General features: G+C 39.4%; 3 pseudogenes across 1 annotated transcript in view; all 3 read left to right on the forward strand.

Moving 5' to 3' along the window:
- FLJ43315 (asparagine synthetase pseudogene) overlaps positions 1 to 18952 on the forward strand; it is a 44663-nt pseudogene that overhangs the window by 13542 nt on the left and 12169 nt on the right. Inside the window, 1 exon segment of the transcript NR_033856.1 lies at positions 829 to 923. The product of NR_033856.1 is annotated as an asparagine synthetase pseudogene (transcript).
- MTCO3P36 (MT-CO3 pseudogene 36) lies at positions 15371 to 15970 on the forward strand (annotated as a pseudogene).
- MTCO1P36 (MT-CO1 pseudogene 36) lies at positions 16274 to 17326 on the forward strand (annotated as a pseudogene).

Below are 18952 nucleotides of genomic sequence, written 5' to 3' on the forward strand. Positions count from 1 at the left end.
ATGGAACTCTCTTGTGGTTGTTGAAGATGCCATTTCTTTTTTTTTTTTTTTTTTTGAGATGGCATCTTCCTCTGTCACCAGGCTGGAGTGCAGTGGCACAATCTCAATTCACAGCAACTTCTGCCTCCTGGGTTCAAGCATTTCTCTTGCCTCAGCCTCTGAAGTAGCTGGGACTACAGGCACATGCCACCATGCCCGGCTAAGTTTTGTATTTTTGGTAGATATGGGGTTTCAGCATGTTGGCCAGGCTGGTCTTGAACTCCTGACCTTGCAATCCACCGGCCCTGGACTCCTGCAGTGCTGGGATTACAGGCATGAGCCACCGCACCCGGCCTCTTTTTTCAGTCTTTAATAAACTGCTGCCATCATTTCAGACCACTTGCTATTTTAGGCACTTAGAAATTTTTCACTGGAATTCATGTAAAGAAAGACCATGGGCGTTTGTACTGGATTTAGTATTCATCATTCGACTGCATGACTCACCCCTAGTGCCATAATTTTACTAATAAATTTTTCAGATACTAGTCAACTGGCCACTGAACCTAACCAGCAACCCACCCTCAACCATTCAGTGGTCTTTTGTTCTCTGTTCCTCCTGAACATTGATTACTCTCAGAAGGTGATAAAAACTTGGATTTCTTTTTTTTTTTCTTCCTAGAAACAGGGTCTTGTTCTGTCACCCAGGCTGCAGTGCGGTGGCATGATCATGGTTCACTGCAGCCCGAAACCCCGGACTCCAACTGTCCTCCCACCTCAGCCTCCCAAGTAGCTGGGACTACATACATTTGCCCCTATTCCCAGCTAACTTCTTTATTTTTTATTGTACAGATGGGATCTTGCTGCGTTGCCCACGATGGTGTCAGACTCCTGGCCTCAAGTGATCATTCTGCCTCACCTTCCCAAAGTGCTTGGATTATACATAGGTGGGAGCCACCTGTGTTCAATGCCCATTTTCTTTTTCTTTCTTTTTGAGACGGACTCTCACTCTGTCACGCAGGCTGGAGTGCAGTGGCGTGATCTCGGCTGCCTGCAACCTCCACCTCCCTGGTTCAAACAATTCCCCTGCCTCAGCCTCCCAACTAGCTGGCATTACAGGCACATGTCACCACTGTCAGCTAATATTTTTGTACTTTTAGTAGAGACAGGGTTTCAGTATGTTGGCCAGACTGGCCTCGAACTCCTGAAATCAGGCAATCCACCCGCCTTGGCCTCCCAATGTGCTGAGATTACAGGCGTGAGTCACCACGCCACACCCAGCCCTTTTTAAAATAATAATGTTATTGAAATATGATTAACATATCATGCAATTCATTTATCAAAGTATGCAATTCTGGCCGGGTGCAGTGGCTAAGTCCTATAATGCTAAGACTTTGGGTGGCTGAGGCAGGTGGATCGCTTGAGTTCGGGAGTTTGCGACTAGCCTGGGCAACATGACAAAGCAGCATCTCTAGCAAAAATACAAAAATTAGCTGGGTGTGGTGGCTCATGCCTGTAGTCCCAACTACTTAGGGACATGAGACTGGAAGATCACTTGAGCCTAGAAGGCATAGGTTGCAGTGAGACCAGATGGCACCACTGCACTACAGCATGGACGACAGAAGGAGACCCTGTCTGTAAATAACTAAAGAAAAAAAGAAAGTATACAATTGAGTGGTTTTTAGAATATTCAAGGAGCTGTGCATCCATCACCACAGTCTCTCTTAGAAGTGATTACCCACTTATGAGTTACCCACCTGTGAGTGAGAAACCCTCACCTCTTAGCCGCTACCTCCTAATTCCCCCATGTTCATAGGCAACCACTGATTTATTTTCTGTCCTTGTAGTTTTGCCTAATCTGGACCTTTTATAGAAATAGAATTGTACAATGTGTGATCTTTTGTAGTTTGCTTTTTTTTTTCTCTTAGCACAATGTTTTCAAATTTCTTTCATGTTATAGTGTGTATCAGTATTTCTTTCCTTTTATAGCTGAGTAATAGTTTATGTTTATCCATTCATTAGTTGATGGACATTTGTGTTGTTTTTGTGTATTCACCATCATGAGTCAGGCTGCTATGAACACTCGTATGTAAGTTTTAGTTTGAACATATATTTTTATTTCTCTTGGATTTACACTCAGGAGTGAAATTGTTGCATTATGTGATTACTATACATTTAGTCTTTGAGAAACTGCCACGTTGATTTTCAAAGTGGTTACACTGGTCAGGCGCAGTGGCTCACACCTTTAATCTCAGGTATTTGAGATGCTGAGTTTGGAGGATTTTCTTAGCCCGGGAATTCAGGACAAGCCTGGGCAATATAGGGAAACAATATCTTGATTTTTTAAAAAAATCAAATGCCAATAAAACACCCAAATTGATTACACCATTTTATATTCCCACCAGTAATGTATGTGAGTTCCAATTATTCCACATTGTCACCAACTTTTTTTTTTTTTTTGAGACAAAATCTTGCTCTGTTGCCCAGGCTGATGTGCAGTGGCATGAACATGGCCAGTGCAGCTGTGACCTTCCAGGCACAAGTGACCCTCTCACCTCAGCCTCCTAAGTAGCTGGGACTTACAGTTGCATGCTATCATGTGCAGCTGATTTTTACAGTTTTTGGTAGAAATGTGGTGTTGTCATGTAGCCCAGGTTTGTGTCAAACTCCTGAGCTCAAGTGATCTGCCTGCTTCACCTTCCGGAAGTGCTGAGATTACAGGTGTGTGCCACCATGCCCGACTGATGTAACCATTTGGAAAGCAGCCACTGAGCCCAGCCTTCACCAGTATACCAATATTTGTTAATATCGTTTTATTTTTTACAATTTTCCCATTTTTAAAAACTTATTCTTTTACCTGTATTATTGATTATAATAAACAACAAATAATTTTGTAGTAGAGTCCCCCCAAAAAGTATTTATTGTTTAATTGAAGTAGTTTTTTTTTTTAACCTGGATATATATTTTTTCATTTTCACTTTATTTTTAGTGTTTATTTTTAAAAATTATTTACATATATTTTTATTTTAATAGGTGTTTGAGAAACAGGTGGTGTTTGGTTCCATGAATAAGTTCTTCAGTGTTGATTTCTGAAATGTAGTACCCCTCATTACTCATTAAATTATATATTAAGTCATTATAAAATCATTAATAAACCAAAGACTTTAATAAAATGGGAATTTTATTTTAACTTGCAACCTGGGACGTAAATGTCAAAAAAATTAGAAAAATTACCACATTAAGGTTTTAAAATCTTGAACTGAAAAATGAAAGCCTTGGTGCACCTAAGAACCACCAACCCACTGGTCAAGGTGAACAAAACTAAATGAAAAAATAAAACCAAGAAAACCAAACTCAGGATTATTAGGTATTCTGTAATGCTATTTTATCTTGGGACTCACAGAAAATAGTCATTATTATTATTATTATTATTATTATTATTATTATTATTTTGATACGGAGTCTCACTCTGTCACCCAGGCTGGAGTGCAGTGGTGCAATCTCGGCTCACTGCAACCTCTGCCTCCTGGGTTCAAGTGATTCTCCTGCCTCAGCCTTCAGAGTAGTTGGCATTACAGGCAGGTTCCACCATGCCTGGCTAACTTGTATTTTTGGTAGAGACAGGGTTTCACCATCTTGACCAGGCTGTTCTGAAACTCCTGATCTCAAGCAATCTGCCTACCTCAGCCTCCCAAAGTGCTGGAATTACAGGCATGAGCCACTGTGCTCAGCTGAAAATAGTTAATTTTATGTATATTCCAAGTCAGAATACATTCTATTTTTGAATATTTGATGACTTTAGGATACTATATTAACTCTTAATTGAATTAATACAAGTTTAGGTGTAAAGATGATGTTTATGTTGACAAAAATTATTAATGTTTTACATATATGAAATTAATAATATATTTTTTGTATTTGTAGAATACTTTGAAATCTATTATTAGCTAATATTTTATATTCATTTTGAGTTTTCACATTATTGTTAGATCCAGAGAAAAGTAATATTTTGTGAATACTCAAATCATAAACATTTTGCTGGATGCATTCATAGATATTTTATTTAAAATGTACACTAATTGAAGTTTTATACCATTTTATGATTCATCAAACACAGCAACTGAATACTGGCGTATAGCAACATTACAGATGTTAGTCTAACATAAAACTCATAACACATTTTAAAAAGGGTAAAAGGAAGGAAAGGAAAAGGGATACGAGGCTGTAGAAAGATTTTAAAAACAAACGTCATATGTCTGAACCTTTACCTGGAGTTTCATATTTTGTGAAAAGCAGTTTGTAAGTAGAGGACTCGTAAGTGCACCTAGTACACTGCAATGGCACAGACACGGCAGATAGTCAATAAAATGATCTTTAACTTCTGATCTAGGTTATTTTTGTTGTTCATGTATTAACCTAGTGAAACTCAGCCAATAGATGGAGTGGCATTGACCTGTAAAACTTCCAAGATCCCATCCAACCTTAGTGTCCTCTGAAGTTCTCCATAATTTATTGTCCGTTCCAACCAACATTTAGCATAAGCTACAGCTTATATTGTTAATAATCCTTCTATGTTTATGTGCTGATTTGCAAATAAATGGGCCTATATAGTCTTTATCTAGTGTTGTATTGGGATCAAAAGTTTTATGAAATCATTGTTTTTAGTATACATACAGATGGATAATTGTATAAATAAGTACAGATGTGTATAAATGTGTGAGTATACATACATATATTTTCCAACTCCTCTAACAAAAGGGCCTAGAAACAACATCATCCCAGTAACAATGAGAACACCATTCTCCAATTAAAGGAACCAAGGCTCCTTGGGGACATATTTGATATCAGGATTGGGCAGGGAAAATACAAGATTAGTTTGAAATATTTTGTCATGTTAGAAAGTAAGGAAATGCTCACAAAATGGAGAAAATGTGAAAAGGAAACAGAATCCACTTTGAATAATCTTCCGTAGCCAAATTTGAGAAAATTGGGGCACTAAAATAAATAACAATAGTAATATATTACAATCTACAGAAGAAAATTTTCAATTAATCCAGGCTGGGTGCGGTGGCTCATGCCTGTATTCCCAGCCCTTTGGGAGGCCGAGGCGGGCAGATCACTTGAGGTCAGGAGTTCGAGACCAGCCTGACCAATGTGGTGAATCCCTGCCTCTACTAAAAATACAAAAATTAGCTGGGCATGGTGGCACATGCCTGTAGTCCCAGCTACTCAGGAGGCTGAGGCAGGAGAATGGCTTGAATCCCGGAAGGTGGAAGTGCAGTGAGTGGAAATCCCACCAATGCATTCCAGCCTGGATGACAAAGCAAGACTCCATCTCAAAAAAAAAATTAATCCATATTGACATAAATAATAAACCAAAGGTTGAGAATGGGCAGTATTTTATTACAGTAAGATTTCATTAAATGTAGGAGACATAAAATATAAGAATCATCACTTTGCAAATATCTTAGTAATAATTGTTGCAAGAAAGAACCTTGGAGGGATGCTAAGATTAGTGGTGAATATATGTTGGGAAAGAACATATTTGCATAATATGAAAGTATCTTCCCACAAGATAATTATAGAATAGTAACTTCAAAATGGAGATGTCAACTTAGCCAAGTGATCAAAGTTAACATTACTAATAATAAGATAAATGAACTTCATGTAACTTCTTATATGATGCACTGAATAGGACAAAACATCAATTCTATGGTATTCTTAGACAAAATGTATAACTTTAGTCCTAATCGTGAGAAAACATCAGACTAACTGAAATTGAGGAGGGACATTCTACAAAATAACTGCCAGTATTCTTCAAAAGCATTTTAGAAAGACTGAGGAATTCTCCAGACACATGGAGACATGTCAACTAAGTGCAATGGAGAACATGCATTGTATCATGAACCAGAGATGGACAACAGTAGGATATATACAATAACACCCCAACATTTGAACATTAAACAAAATACTTCAGAAAAACCCATTGGCCAAGAAAAGTTTCACACACACAAAAAAATAGTTTAAACTGAAAGAAAAATTTTTAAAAACTTAATAAAATGTGGGATGCAGATAAATCATTTCTTAAAGGTACATTTATAGATATAATATATTGAAAATAAAAGGCTTCAATCAATGACCTTTAGGTTCTTTTTTAAGAGGCTAAAAAAATCAGCAAAGTATATTCGAATTAAGAAGAAGGAAGATGATAAAGATAAAAATGTAAACCAACAACATAGCAAATAACAAAAGGTGGAGCTAATTAATATACCCACAAATTGGTTGTTTGAAAAAATTTTTTTTAATAAACAATGGCTAGCAAGATTTATCTCAAAAAAAATTAGAGAAGCTACATAATGTAGATAATGATAATTAAATAGAGGATGTAACTACAGAACCTACAGACATCAATATAATTATGAAAACTTTAGGCCAATACATTTGACAAATAAAATAACATGGGAAATTATTTGTAAAACTAATTCTTAAAACTGATGCAAAATGAAATAGAAAAAGTAATAGCTTCTCTATGTATTGAAGAATTTTTTTAATTTAAAAAGATTTCTATAATTACAGGCTGCATGGTTTCTTAGGTGAATTCTATCAAATATTTAAGAAAGTACAGAGAGTCCTCAACTTATGGTGGTTTGACTTGTGCTCTTCTGACTTGACAATGGTGCTTTCATCTGTGTACATTAATGATGAGCATCAACGTGACCAGTTTTTCACTATCAGTATAGTTTTCAATAAATTTCATGAGATACTCAATATTTTAAAATAGGTCTTATGGTAGATGATTTTGACCAATTGTAGGCTAATGTAAGTGTTCTGAGCAAGTTTAAGGTAGGCGAGGCTAAGTCATGATATTCAGTAGGTTAAATATATTAAATGTGTTTTAGACTTACAATATTTTCAATTTAGGATGAGTTCATGAAGACATAAGCCCATTGTAAGTTGAGGAGTATCTATAATATCAATCTTGAACAGACCCTTTTTAAGAAATAGAACTTAAGGGCTGGGCACAGTGGCTCACACCTGTAATCCCAGCACTTTGGGAGGCCAAGACGGGCAGATCACCTGGGGTCAGGAGTTTGAGACCAACCTGACCAGCATGGAGAAACCCCCGTCTCTACTAAAAGTACAAAATTAGCAGGGCATGGTGGCGCTTGCCTGTAATCCCAGCTCCTCGGGAGCCAGAGGCAGGAGAATAGCTTGAATCTGGGAGGTAGAGGTTGCGGAGAGCCGAAATTGTGCCATTGCACTCCAGCCTGGGCAACAAGAGTGAATCTCCATCTCAAAAAAAAAAAAAAAAAAAAGAATTTAAAGGGACACTTCCTATCTTATTTTATTAACCCAGTATTGCCCTGATTCCAAATCGAGACAAAGGCATTATACAACTTTGATGTTTATCCCTCATAAACATAGACTCAAAAGTCCTTAAAACATAATAACCAATTGAATGTAGCAGTACATAGAATGGATAATAAACTGAACAAATTAAGTTTCTAGCAAGATTGCAAGGTTAATTTATTATTTGAAAGATCAGTTTAATCAATTTTATTCACCTGGATGGTTACATCTGGCAAAACTCAGCAAACTGTGCACTTTAAAATAGGAGTATTTATTTTATGTAAATTATGTTTCAATACAATTGATTTTTTAAAAAAACGTTTCCCAGAGTGATCAAAGTGGAGGGCAGGGAACAGTAAACATCAGTGCTTATGTTATAGCTACTAGAAGCCTCCCAATTCCAAGGACATGCTTTCAAGCAGATCTGATCCTTCCCTGGAGGATACCTCTGACCCAGGTGTGCTACAAATGCATTGCCCCTAGTTGCTTCTGTCCCCTTAGTGATGGAAGTGACAAGAGGGTACTGGAGAAAGAAAAGGTGTACAGGGTTCCAAATGTACTTTCTCTTTCCAAAGGACATTTGTGAAGCCAGTGGAAAGCGAACAAACAAGCTGCTAAATAAGTCACAATTGTGTTCTCGTACAGTTTTGCGATTAACTAAATAGGACATTCAACAGATAAAATTTGTTTTACATAGTTCCTCCTCTAATAGGATGAACTTGTGGATTGTGAGATAGGGCTGATATAACCTGTTTTCTCTCTGCCTCTTTTTTTTTTCCCCAAGTTTTGTTTGCAATACATTAGGAAAAATATAATTGGGCTATAAAGCTACAAAAATGGCTTCCTGGCAGTTCCATGCTTGTTTCCATGTGGTGCCTATGTTTGGCACTGTGTTCTCATTTGCACTTTCCTACTTGATTAGTTAATGTATGAAGGACAAGCCTGATCTCTACTGTGAATTTCTACCGAGGTGTTTTAGTAGAAAAATGAGTATGTTATGGTGCTGTGGAATGCTAAAGTGTGTAAAACATTAAGAATCTAAAAATATGCTCATTTCCAAGTTTTGTCCCAGAGCAACTGTGCACTCTGATTATATCGCTACTGCTATTTAAAGTTATCCATTTGCATGTCTAAAAAATAGATTCATACTGATTGTCCCATTTTGATCTCAAAAAACTCCTGAATATGAGAGTCGTGATCAAGGGACGCTTCATGAAATATTCCAAAGTTAAAGTGTGCAATGAAACCAGATTTATCATAGCCTTATTTAAAATAATTATTTCTAAAATTGTTATTGTTTAATTATAAACTGCATCCTTTCAGGATACTTGGAAGATCCATAACAGTGTTTTTATTTTCACAGAACAAGCATAAATTATTTATGAAATAATAACTCAGATACAGAGATTACTTCCTATTGGCCTTACATATGCATATAAATAAATAAATGTTATGAACATGAGCATACTTATTTTATAATTATGTAAATGTGTGTGTAATGTTATATATAAGTTCAATAAAGTCAGCTTATACATGGTTTCAATTCATGCTTCTAAAAACCACTCAATGTAGTCATTATCATATGTTAATAAATAATCTCTGAAAATGTGCTTCTAGTAGTTGCACAATATCCCATCATAAAGATTGTCATGCTGTTTTTAAGTCATACTTTTGGGTATATAAGTTATATCTGATATTTTTCTACTACATAGATACTATTATAAATCTATTAGTAGTTGATTTTTTGTCAACACATATGATTGTTTCCTCACAATAGTACAAGAGTTGGTTGTAACTATTTCCTTCCAACATTTATTTTAGGTTCAGCGGGTACATGTGCAGGTTTATTATATGGGTAAAATGTGTGTCAATGGGATTCGGTATACAGATTACGTAGTCATCCAGGTAGTGAGCGTAGTATCTAATAGGGAGTTTTTTGATCCTCACTCTCCCCCCGACCCTCCACCCACAGTAGACCTTGTGTCTATTGTTCCCTTCTTTGTGTCCATGTGGACTCAATGTTTAACCCCCACTTATAAGTGAGAACATGCAGTGTTTGTTTGGTTTTCTGTTCCTGCATTAATTCACTTAGAATAATGGTATCCAGCTCCATTCATGTTGCTGCAAAAGACATTATTTCATCCTATTTTATAGGTGTGTAGTATTCCATGGTGTATGTACGCTGCATTTTTTAATCCAGTCTTCTGTTAACAGGCATCTAAGTTGATTCTGTGTCTTTGCTATTGTGAATAGTGTTATAATGAAAATATGCGTGCATATGTCTATGACAGAATGATTTATATTCCTCTGGGTATATACCCAGTAATGGGATTGCTGGGTTGAATGGTAGTTCTGTTTTAAGTTATTTCAGAAATCTCCAAACTGCTTTCCACAGTGGCTGAACAAATTTACATTCCTGATGAAACTGGAGAGTTCCCTGACTCCCCTTGGCAGGATGTGCAACAGGGGTGTGGTTTGTCTGGCCATGGTGTGTGCTGTCAAACACCTTACTGGGCAGGGGAGCATGCAGACAGGCAGGTGCAATAGGCAGGGCAAGTGGCCATGGTACTGTCTAGGGGTGGGTGCCTGTGACTCCCACAGCCCAAGTGGGCGTGTGTTACAGTGCACTCTTTTAGCTTTGCCATCCACAGACGGCTTAAGTGTTAACCCGTTCAGTGCCCTCTTGGTACCCAGTTCCTTGTCCAGCATCCAGAAAGAATTAAGTTGCACACAGACTTAAGGATGGTGAATGTGGCGGTTTTATTGAGTGGTGGAGGTGGCACTCAATGGGATGGATGGGGAGCTGGAAAGGGGATGGAATGGGAAGATGATCTTCCCCGGGAGCTTTGCCATCCAGAGGCTGATCTCTCCAACCACTGCCAGCCAAACTCCTCTTGGCATTCAGATGCTCCTTCTCTTCTTTCTGCCACATCATTCTGCAATTCTGCTCTTCTGTTTATCTCTTCATCTGCTTGTCTGCTTCTGGAGCCTGGGGTCTGGGGCATATATGGGTACAGGACAGGGGGTGCATGGTGAACTGAAAGACAACTTTTGGGTGCAAAAGCAGGAATGCCTGTTCCCATTTAGGGCCATGGGTTTCCAGGCTTGTGGGCAGGGCTTTGCCAGGGAACCACTCTCTTCTACCCAGTATTTCCCTGTCTCTTTTCTATATCACCACCAGCAGTGTATAAGCATTCCCTTTTTTCCACAAACTCAGCACTGTCTGTTATGTTTTGATTTTTTAATAATAGCCATTCTGACCAGTGTGATATGGTATCTCATGGTTCTGATTTTCTGATGATTAGTGATGTTGAGTATTTTTTCATATGGTTGTTTGCCACACATACATTGTCTTTTGAAAAAAGAATCCACAGACAGCTTAAGTGTTAACCCATTCAGTGCCCTCTTGGTACCCAAGTCCTTGTCCAGCATCCAGAAAGAAGTTGCACATGGACTTGAGGATGGTGAATGTGGGGGTTCATGTTCTTTGCCTATTTGTAGTGGGTTTGTTTTTTGCTTATTGATTCTTTATACATGCTGAGTATTAGACATTTTTCAGATATGTAATTTGAAAATATTTTCTTCTGTTCTGTAGGGTGTTCTCTGTTGATAGTTTCTTTTGCTGTGCTGAAGCTCTTTAGTTTCATGAGGTCCCACTCGTCAATTCTTCTTGTTGCAATTGCTTTTGGAGTCTTCATCGTGAAATCTTTGCCAGCGTCTATGTCCAGAATTATATTTCCTAAGTTTTCTTCTAGGGTTTATATAGTTTTGGGTCTTACATAAGTCCTTCATCCATCTTGAGTTGATTTTTGTATATGGTGAAAGGAAGGGAGTGTACCTGCCACTGTGATATTGTTCCTAATATCCAGGTTGGGAGAGGATATTATACTCAATATTGCAGGAGGTGTCGACCACCCTGAATATTGCTTTTAATATCTGGGGAGAGAGGGTGATATTACTCCCAATATCATCCTCTCCCCCCACACCCTGCATAGTACAAACAATATCAAAGGGGGTCTGTGCAACACGTGCAATATTGGGAGTAATATCCTCCCCCAACATGGATATTAGAAACAGTATCACAAGGGGTTGTACACCACCTGCGATATTGGGGAGTACTATCATTTTCTTTCCCCATGTATATTTAGAACAATATCACAAAGGCGGTGTACAACCCCTGCTATATTGGGAGTAATACTGTACTTTCCCCACCTAGATATTAGGAACAATATCACGGGGGGGTTATACACCACTGCAACATTGGGAGTAATATCATCCTTTCCCTCCCTGGATATTAGGAACAATACCTCATGGGTGTGTACACCCTGTTCCATATTGGGATTAATATTTTCTCCCTTGCTGGACATAAGGAACAATATAACGGGGGGTATACACTCCTTATGATATTGCCAGTGATATTATAGACTCCCCCCAGGGATATTAGAAACAGTATCAGAGAGGGGTGTACATCCCCTGTGATATTGGGAATAATATTCTTTCTTTCCCTGGATATTAGGAATAATATCACAAAGGGGTTGTATACCCCCATGACATTTTAATTAATATCATCTTCCCCACCGAATATTAGGAACAAATTCCCAGGGGATTGTACACCACCTGCAATACGGACAGCTATATCATTGTCTCTCCCCCGAATATTAGGAACAATATCACAAGGGAGTTGTACATCCCCTGTGATATTGGGAGTAACTTTATACCCTTTCCACATGGGTATTAGGAACAATATCACAGGGTGGGTGTACACTCACTGCGATATTGGGAGTAATATCATCCTCTACCCCCTGGGTATTACGAACAATATCACGGGGAGGGGTGTATGCCCTCTGCGATATTGGGAATAATATCATCCACTCCCCTGTGGATATTGGGAATGATATCACAGCGGGGCTGTACCTTTTCTGCACTATTGGGAGTGGTATCACCCTCTCCCCCTATGGATATTAGGAACAATACCACAAAGGGTGTGTACACATCCTGCGATATTGGGAGTAATATTGTTCACTCTTCCCTGGGATATTAGGAACAATATCACAGGCGGAGTGTACACCCCCTGCGATTTTATCTGTAATATTATTCTCTCCCAAACTGGATATTAGGAATAATATAACAGGAGGGGTGTACACCACCTGTGATATTGGGAGTAATATCATTCTCTCCCCCCATGGATATTGAGAACAATATCACAGGGGCAGTTTACACCTCCTGCGACATTTAGAGTAATATCATCCTTTTCCCCCATGGATATTAGGAACAATATCGCATGGGAAGTGTACACCCCCGCCATATTGGGAGTAATATTTTCTCCCTTGCTGGACATTAGGAACAATATCACTGGAATGCACACACCCTGCGATATTGCCAGTAATATCGTAGTCTCCTCCCAGGATATTAGGAACAATATCACAAGGGGAGTGTACATACCCTGTGATATTGGAAGTAATATCATCGACTCCCCCCACGGATATTAGTAACAATATCAGAAGGGGTGTACACCCTTTGCAATATTTATAGTACTATCATCCTATCCCCCCTGGATATTAGGAACAATACCACGGGGAGCTGTATACCCACTGTGATATTGGGAGTAATTTCATCCTCTACCCCTTGGATGTTAGGAGCAGTATCACAAGGGGGGTGTGCACTCTCTGTGATATTAAAAATAATACCATTCTCTCCTCCTCTGGATACTAGGAATAATATCACAGGGCTGGTGTGCACCCTTTGCACTATTGGGAGTAATATCACCCTCTCCCCAACTTAATATTAGAAACAATATCATGGGGGGTGGCGTGTAACACCCTGTACTGTTGGGAGTATTATCATCTAGTCTTCCCCTGGATATAAGAAACAGTATCACAGAAGGGGTCTACAACTCCTGAGATTTTGGGAGTAATATCATCCTCTCCAAATCTGGTTATTAAGAACAGTATAATGGGGTGTGGGGAGTAATATGTTGGGAGTAATACAATCCTCCCCCCAACTTGATATTAGGAACAATATCGCAAAACGTGTGTACACCCACTGCGATATTTGGAGTAATATCAACATTTCCCCACCTGGTATCACGGGGAGAGTGTACACTCCTTACGATATTGGAAGTATCATTGTCTCTCACTCTCGATATTAGGAAAAATAGCACAGGGTGTGTGTACACTCCCTGTGATTTTGGGAAGAACATCATACCCTTCCGTCTTTGATATTAGGAACAATATCACAGAGGGGGTGTACAACTTCTGCGATATTGTAATATTCTTTCTTCCCATGGATATTAGAAATGATATCCTGGGGGGCATGTTGTACACCCCCTGTGATATGGACAGTAATATCATTGTCCTTCCCCCTACATATTAGGAACAATATCACAAGGGGGGTGTACACCCCCTGGATATTAGAAACTATCACAGGGGGGCTGTACAACCTCTTTGATACTGTGAGTAATACCATTGTCTCCCCTCCTGGATATTAAGAACAATATCATAGGGTGGGTGTACACCCCCTGCAATATTGGGAATAATATCATCCTCTCTTCCCCGGGATATTAGGAACAGTATAACAGGTGGGGTTTACACCCCCTGCAATTTTGTCAGTAATATTACTTCTGGATGTTATTGAATATATCACAGTGGGGGTGTACACCCCGTGATATGGGGAGTAATAGCATCCTCTTTCCCACTGGATACTACAAACAATATTGCAGGTTGTGTACAACTTCCTGCGATATTGTTCACAATATTTAGGGGAGGAGAGGATGATATTACTCCACATATCGCAGGGAGTGTTACATCCCCTGTAATATTGTTCATAATATTTAGAAGAGGACAGGATGATATTACTCCCAATATAGTAGTAAGTATACACTCCCCTGTGATACTGTTCATAATTTTTAGGGGATTAGAGGATGATATTACTTCCAATATCACAGGGAGTGTACACTGGTGATATTGTTTATAATTTTCAGTGGATTAGAAGATATTTTTCCCAATATCACAGGGGTTGTACATCCCCGTGTGATATTGTTAATATCCAGTGGGAAAGAGGATGATATTACTCCCCATATCACGGGGGATGTAAACCCGTTTGTGGTATTGTCACTTACATCCGGGGGGGGTGAGGATGATATTACTCCGCATATCATAGAGGGTGTACACACGGCTGTAGTGTTGTCCATAACATCCAGAGGGGAAGAGAATATTATTCCCATGTTTCAGAAGGTGTACACACCCCTGTGATAGTCTCTGTAACATTTAGGGAAGAAGGGGATGATACTACTCCAGATATCGCAGGGGGTGTACACCCCCCTCTGATACTGTTCGTAACGTTTAGGGGGAGGAGGATGATATTACTTCGCATATCGAAGGGATTGTACATCTCCCTATATATTGTCCATAACATCCAGGGCAGGAGAGGATATTACTACTCCCCATATGACAGGGGGTGGACACCCCCCTGTAAATATGTCTAACATCCAGGCGGGGACAGGAGGATATTATTCCCCATATCGCAGAGAAAGTAAACCCCCTGTGATATTGTCCATAACATCCAGTGGGGAGAGGATGATGTCACTCCCCATATTGCAGGGGTGCACTCTCCACTCTGATATTGGCCATAATATCCGGGGGGAGGTGAAGTATGAAGTCACTACACATATCACAGGGATTATTAGTATCAGATTGTTTGAAGGGCTCACAGTAAGGGTAGTAGTAGGGCGAGTTCTAACTCAAATAGGGGAAATGTGATGACTACTAGAAAGAATTTTATGGAGAAGGGAATGTGGGCAGAGGATAGAGGGTCAAATCTGCATTCATAAGGGCTAGACTTTTCTATATATGTTTATTTTATACATATATATATTTTTCTCTGTCTCTCTCTCTCTATATATATGAAGTTGGAGCCAAAATGTAATAATTATTAGTAACAGGTCTAATAGGGTGTTGATTACTAGGGTTAATGTTAGGCGAATTACTGTTTTTCGGATGCTATCGAAACTTTGGAAATCATGGTACTATTTATACTAAAAGAGTAAGATCCTCATCAATAAATAGAAACATACAAGAATAGTCATACTACATCTACAAAGTGTCGATATCAGGCAGCGGCTTCAAAGGCAAAGTGATGACTAGATGTAAAGTGGTATTTTAATTGGCGGAGAAGGCAGACTGAGGAATGTTGATCCAATAATGACGTGAAGTCTGTGAAAGCCTGTAGCTATAAAAAATATTGAGCCATAAATACCATCAGAAATAGCAAAGGGAGCTTTGAAGTATTCTGAGACTTGTAGGAGGGTGAAGTAAATACCTAATATAATTGTAATAAGTAGTGCTTGGATTGTATGTTTTTGATTATTTTTTGTTAGGCTGTGATGGGCTCAAGTAATTGAAACTCCTGATGCAAGTAATACAGATGGATTCAGGAGAGGTACTTCCAGGTGGTCAAGGGGAGAAATACCTGTTGGGGGTCAATGTCCTCCTAATTCTGGAGTAGGGACTAGGCTAGAATGGTAGAATGCTCAAAAGAATCCAGCGAAGAGAAATATTTCTGAGATAATAAATAGGACTATCCCATATTGGAGGCCTTTTTGAACAGTTGTTGTATGGTGGCCCTGAAATGTACTTTCTCAGATACAGATCACCCTTGATCAATTGAATACAGATCAATCACTTTAAGTAAGCTAAGTCCTTACAAATTGATGAGACTTAAACCCACGAAAACTCAACAGCTGAACTCCCTAGTCAACTGGTTTGAATCTATTTCTCCAGCCGCTGGGGGAATAAAGGTGAGAGAAGCAGGATTGAAGCTGCTTCTTTGAATTTACAATTCAACATGAAAATCACCTCGGGACTGGTAAAAACAGGCCTTGACCTCTGTTTTTAGATGTACAGTCTAATGCCCTACTCAGTCATTTTACCCTTTTTTCTCACTTAATTTATGTTGGCTGACAGTTGACTATTCTCAACCAACCATAAAGATATCGGGACATTATATTTATTATTTGGCACATGAGCAGGGATAGTCAGAACAGCTTTAAGCCTTATTCGAGCTGAATTCTACTAGATGATCAAATTTGTCTTGTTATAGCCTATGCATTTGTCATAATTTTCTTTATAGTAATACTATAATTGTAGGTCTTGGCAACTGATTAGTCCCCCTGATAATTGGCGCCCCCGATATAGCATTTCTCTGCATAAATAATATGAGCTTCTGACTCCTCCCACCCTCCTTCCTATTATAACTTGCATCCACTATAGTAGAAGCCGGCACTGGAACCGGCTGAACAGTCTCTCCTCCCTTAGCAGGAAACCTAACACATGCAGGCGCCTCTGTAGATTTCACTGTCTTTTCACTCCACTTGGCAGGTGTTTCTTCTACTTCAGAGGCTATTAACTTTATTATCACAATTGTTAATATAAAACCCCCAGCCATGTCCCAATATCACACACCCCTCTTCATCTGATTAGTCCTAATTACAGCAGTTCTTCTACTCCTTTGTCTACGAGTCCTAGCCTCCGGCATCACTATATTGTTGACTGACTACAATCTGAATACTACTTTTTTCTACCTGGCTGGTGGAGGTGATCCTATCTTATGTCAGCATTTATTCAGATTCTTTGGTCACCCTGAAGTCTAAATCCTCATCCCACTGGGCTTTGGGATAATTTCCCACGCCGTAACATACTATTCTGAAAAAAAAAGAACCATTCAGCTATATGGGCCTAGTGTGCTATAGGATCAGTTGGGTTCTTACGGTTTATTGTATGGGCCCACCATATATTTACGGTACGGATAGATGTGGATACATGAGCCTGCTTAACCTCTGCTATTATAATTATTGCTATTCCTACTAGCGTCAAAGTTTATAGCTGACTAGCTAGCGACACTTCACAGTAGTAATATCAAATGATCCCCCGCAATGCTGTGAGCTTGGGGATTTATTTTCCTTTTTACAGTAGGAGGCCTAACCCGCATTGTATTGGCCAAGGCTTATATTATGGTTCATTCATATATTTAGAAACCTGAAAGTTTCTAAATAAATTGTAAAAAAGTTGTAAAAAAACCCCAGCTGAAATAACTACGAAAGTGCCTTTAATATTCTGAAGACAAAATAGCTAAGATCCAAACTGGGAGTAGATACCCCGCTATGCTTAACCCTAAACTCGAATAGTTAGATCAACAAAACTGTTCACCAGAACACTACAAGCAACAGCTTAAAACTCAAAGGACTTGGCGGTGCTTTATATCCCTCTAAAGGAGCCTGTTCTATAATCGATAAACCCCAATTTACCTCACCACCTCTTGCCCAGCCTATATACCTCCATCTTCAGCAAACCCTGGAAAGGCCACAGAGTAAGCACAAGTATCTACATAAAAACGTTAGGTCAAGGTGTAGCCCATGAGGTGGCAAGAAATAGGTATGTTTTCTACATCCAGAAAAATCTCGCGACAACCGTTATGAAATCTAAGGGCTCAAGGAGGATTTAGCAATAAATTGAGAGCAGAGTGTTTAATCGAATAAGGCCATGAAGCACGCACACACCGCCCTTCACCCTCCTCAAATATATTCTAGAAACTCATTGTACACTCCCCTGTGATATTGTCCACAATATCCAGGGAGGGAGAGAATGATTTTATTTATTTATTTTTTTTTTGAGACAGAGCCTTGCTCTGTCGCCCAGGCTGGAGTGCAGTGGCCTGATCTTGGCTCACTGCAAGCTCCACCTCCCAGGTTCACACCATTCTCCTGCCTCAACCTCCCTAGTAGCTGGGACTACAGGCGCCTGCCACCGCGCCCGGTTAATTTTTTGTATTTTTAGTAGAGACGGGGTTTCACCATGTTAGCCAGGATGGTCTCGATCTCCTGACCTCGTGATCCACCCGCCTCGGCTTCCCAAAGTGCTGGGATTACAGGTGTGAGCCACCGCGCCTGGCCAGAGAGAATGATTTTACTCCCCATATCGCAGGAGATTTACATTCCCCTGCGTTATTTTTCGTAATATCCAGGGGGAAGATGAAGATATTACTCCCCTTATAACATGGGAAAACAATTCCCTGCGATATTGTTCATAATATATCTGGGGGGAGAGAATGATATTTCTCCTTTTATTGCAGGAAGTGTACATCCCCTTTGCGATATTGTTTATAATATCTAGTAGGGGAGAGGATGATGTTACTCCCCATATTGCAGGGGGTGTACAACCCCCTAGAATATTGTTTGTAATATCCATGCGGGGAGGAGATGATGTTACTACCCATATCGCCAGGGTGTACTGCCCCCTGCCATATTGTTTGTAATATCCAGGCTGGGAAAGGATGATATTACTCCCTGTATCACAGGGGATGTACAACTCCCTGTGATGTAATATCCAGGGTGGGAGAGGAGTATATTACTCCCTATAAGGCAGAGTGTGTATACACCCCTCTGTGATATTGTTCATAATATCCACTGGGGGATATGATATTACTCCCAATATCGTAAACACCTCATGTGTACACCGTCTGTGATATTGTTTGTAATATCCAGTGGGGGAGAGGATGATACTACTTTCCACATCCCAGGGGGTTTACACCCCTCTGTGATAAGGTTTGTAATATCCAGAGGGGGAGAGGGTTA

The sequence above is a fragment of the Homo sapiens genome, chromosome 9, assembly GCF_000001405.40.
Source record: "Homo sapiens chromosome 9, GRCh38.p14 Primary Assembly".
Lineage (NCBI taxonomy): Eukaryota > Metazoa > Chordata > Mammalia > Primates > Hominidae > Homo > Homo sapiens.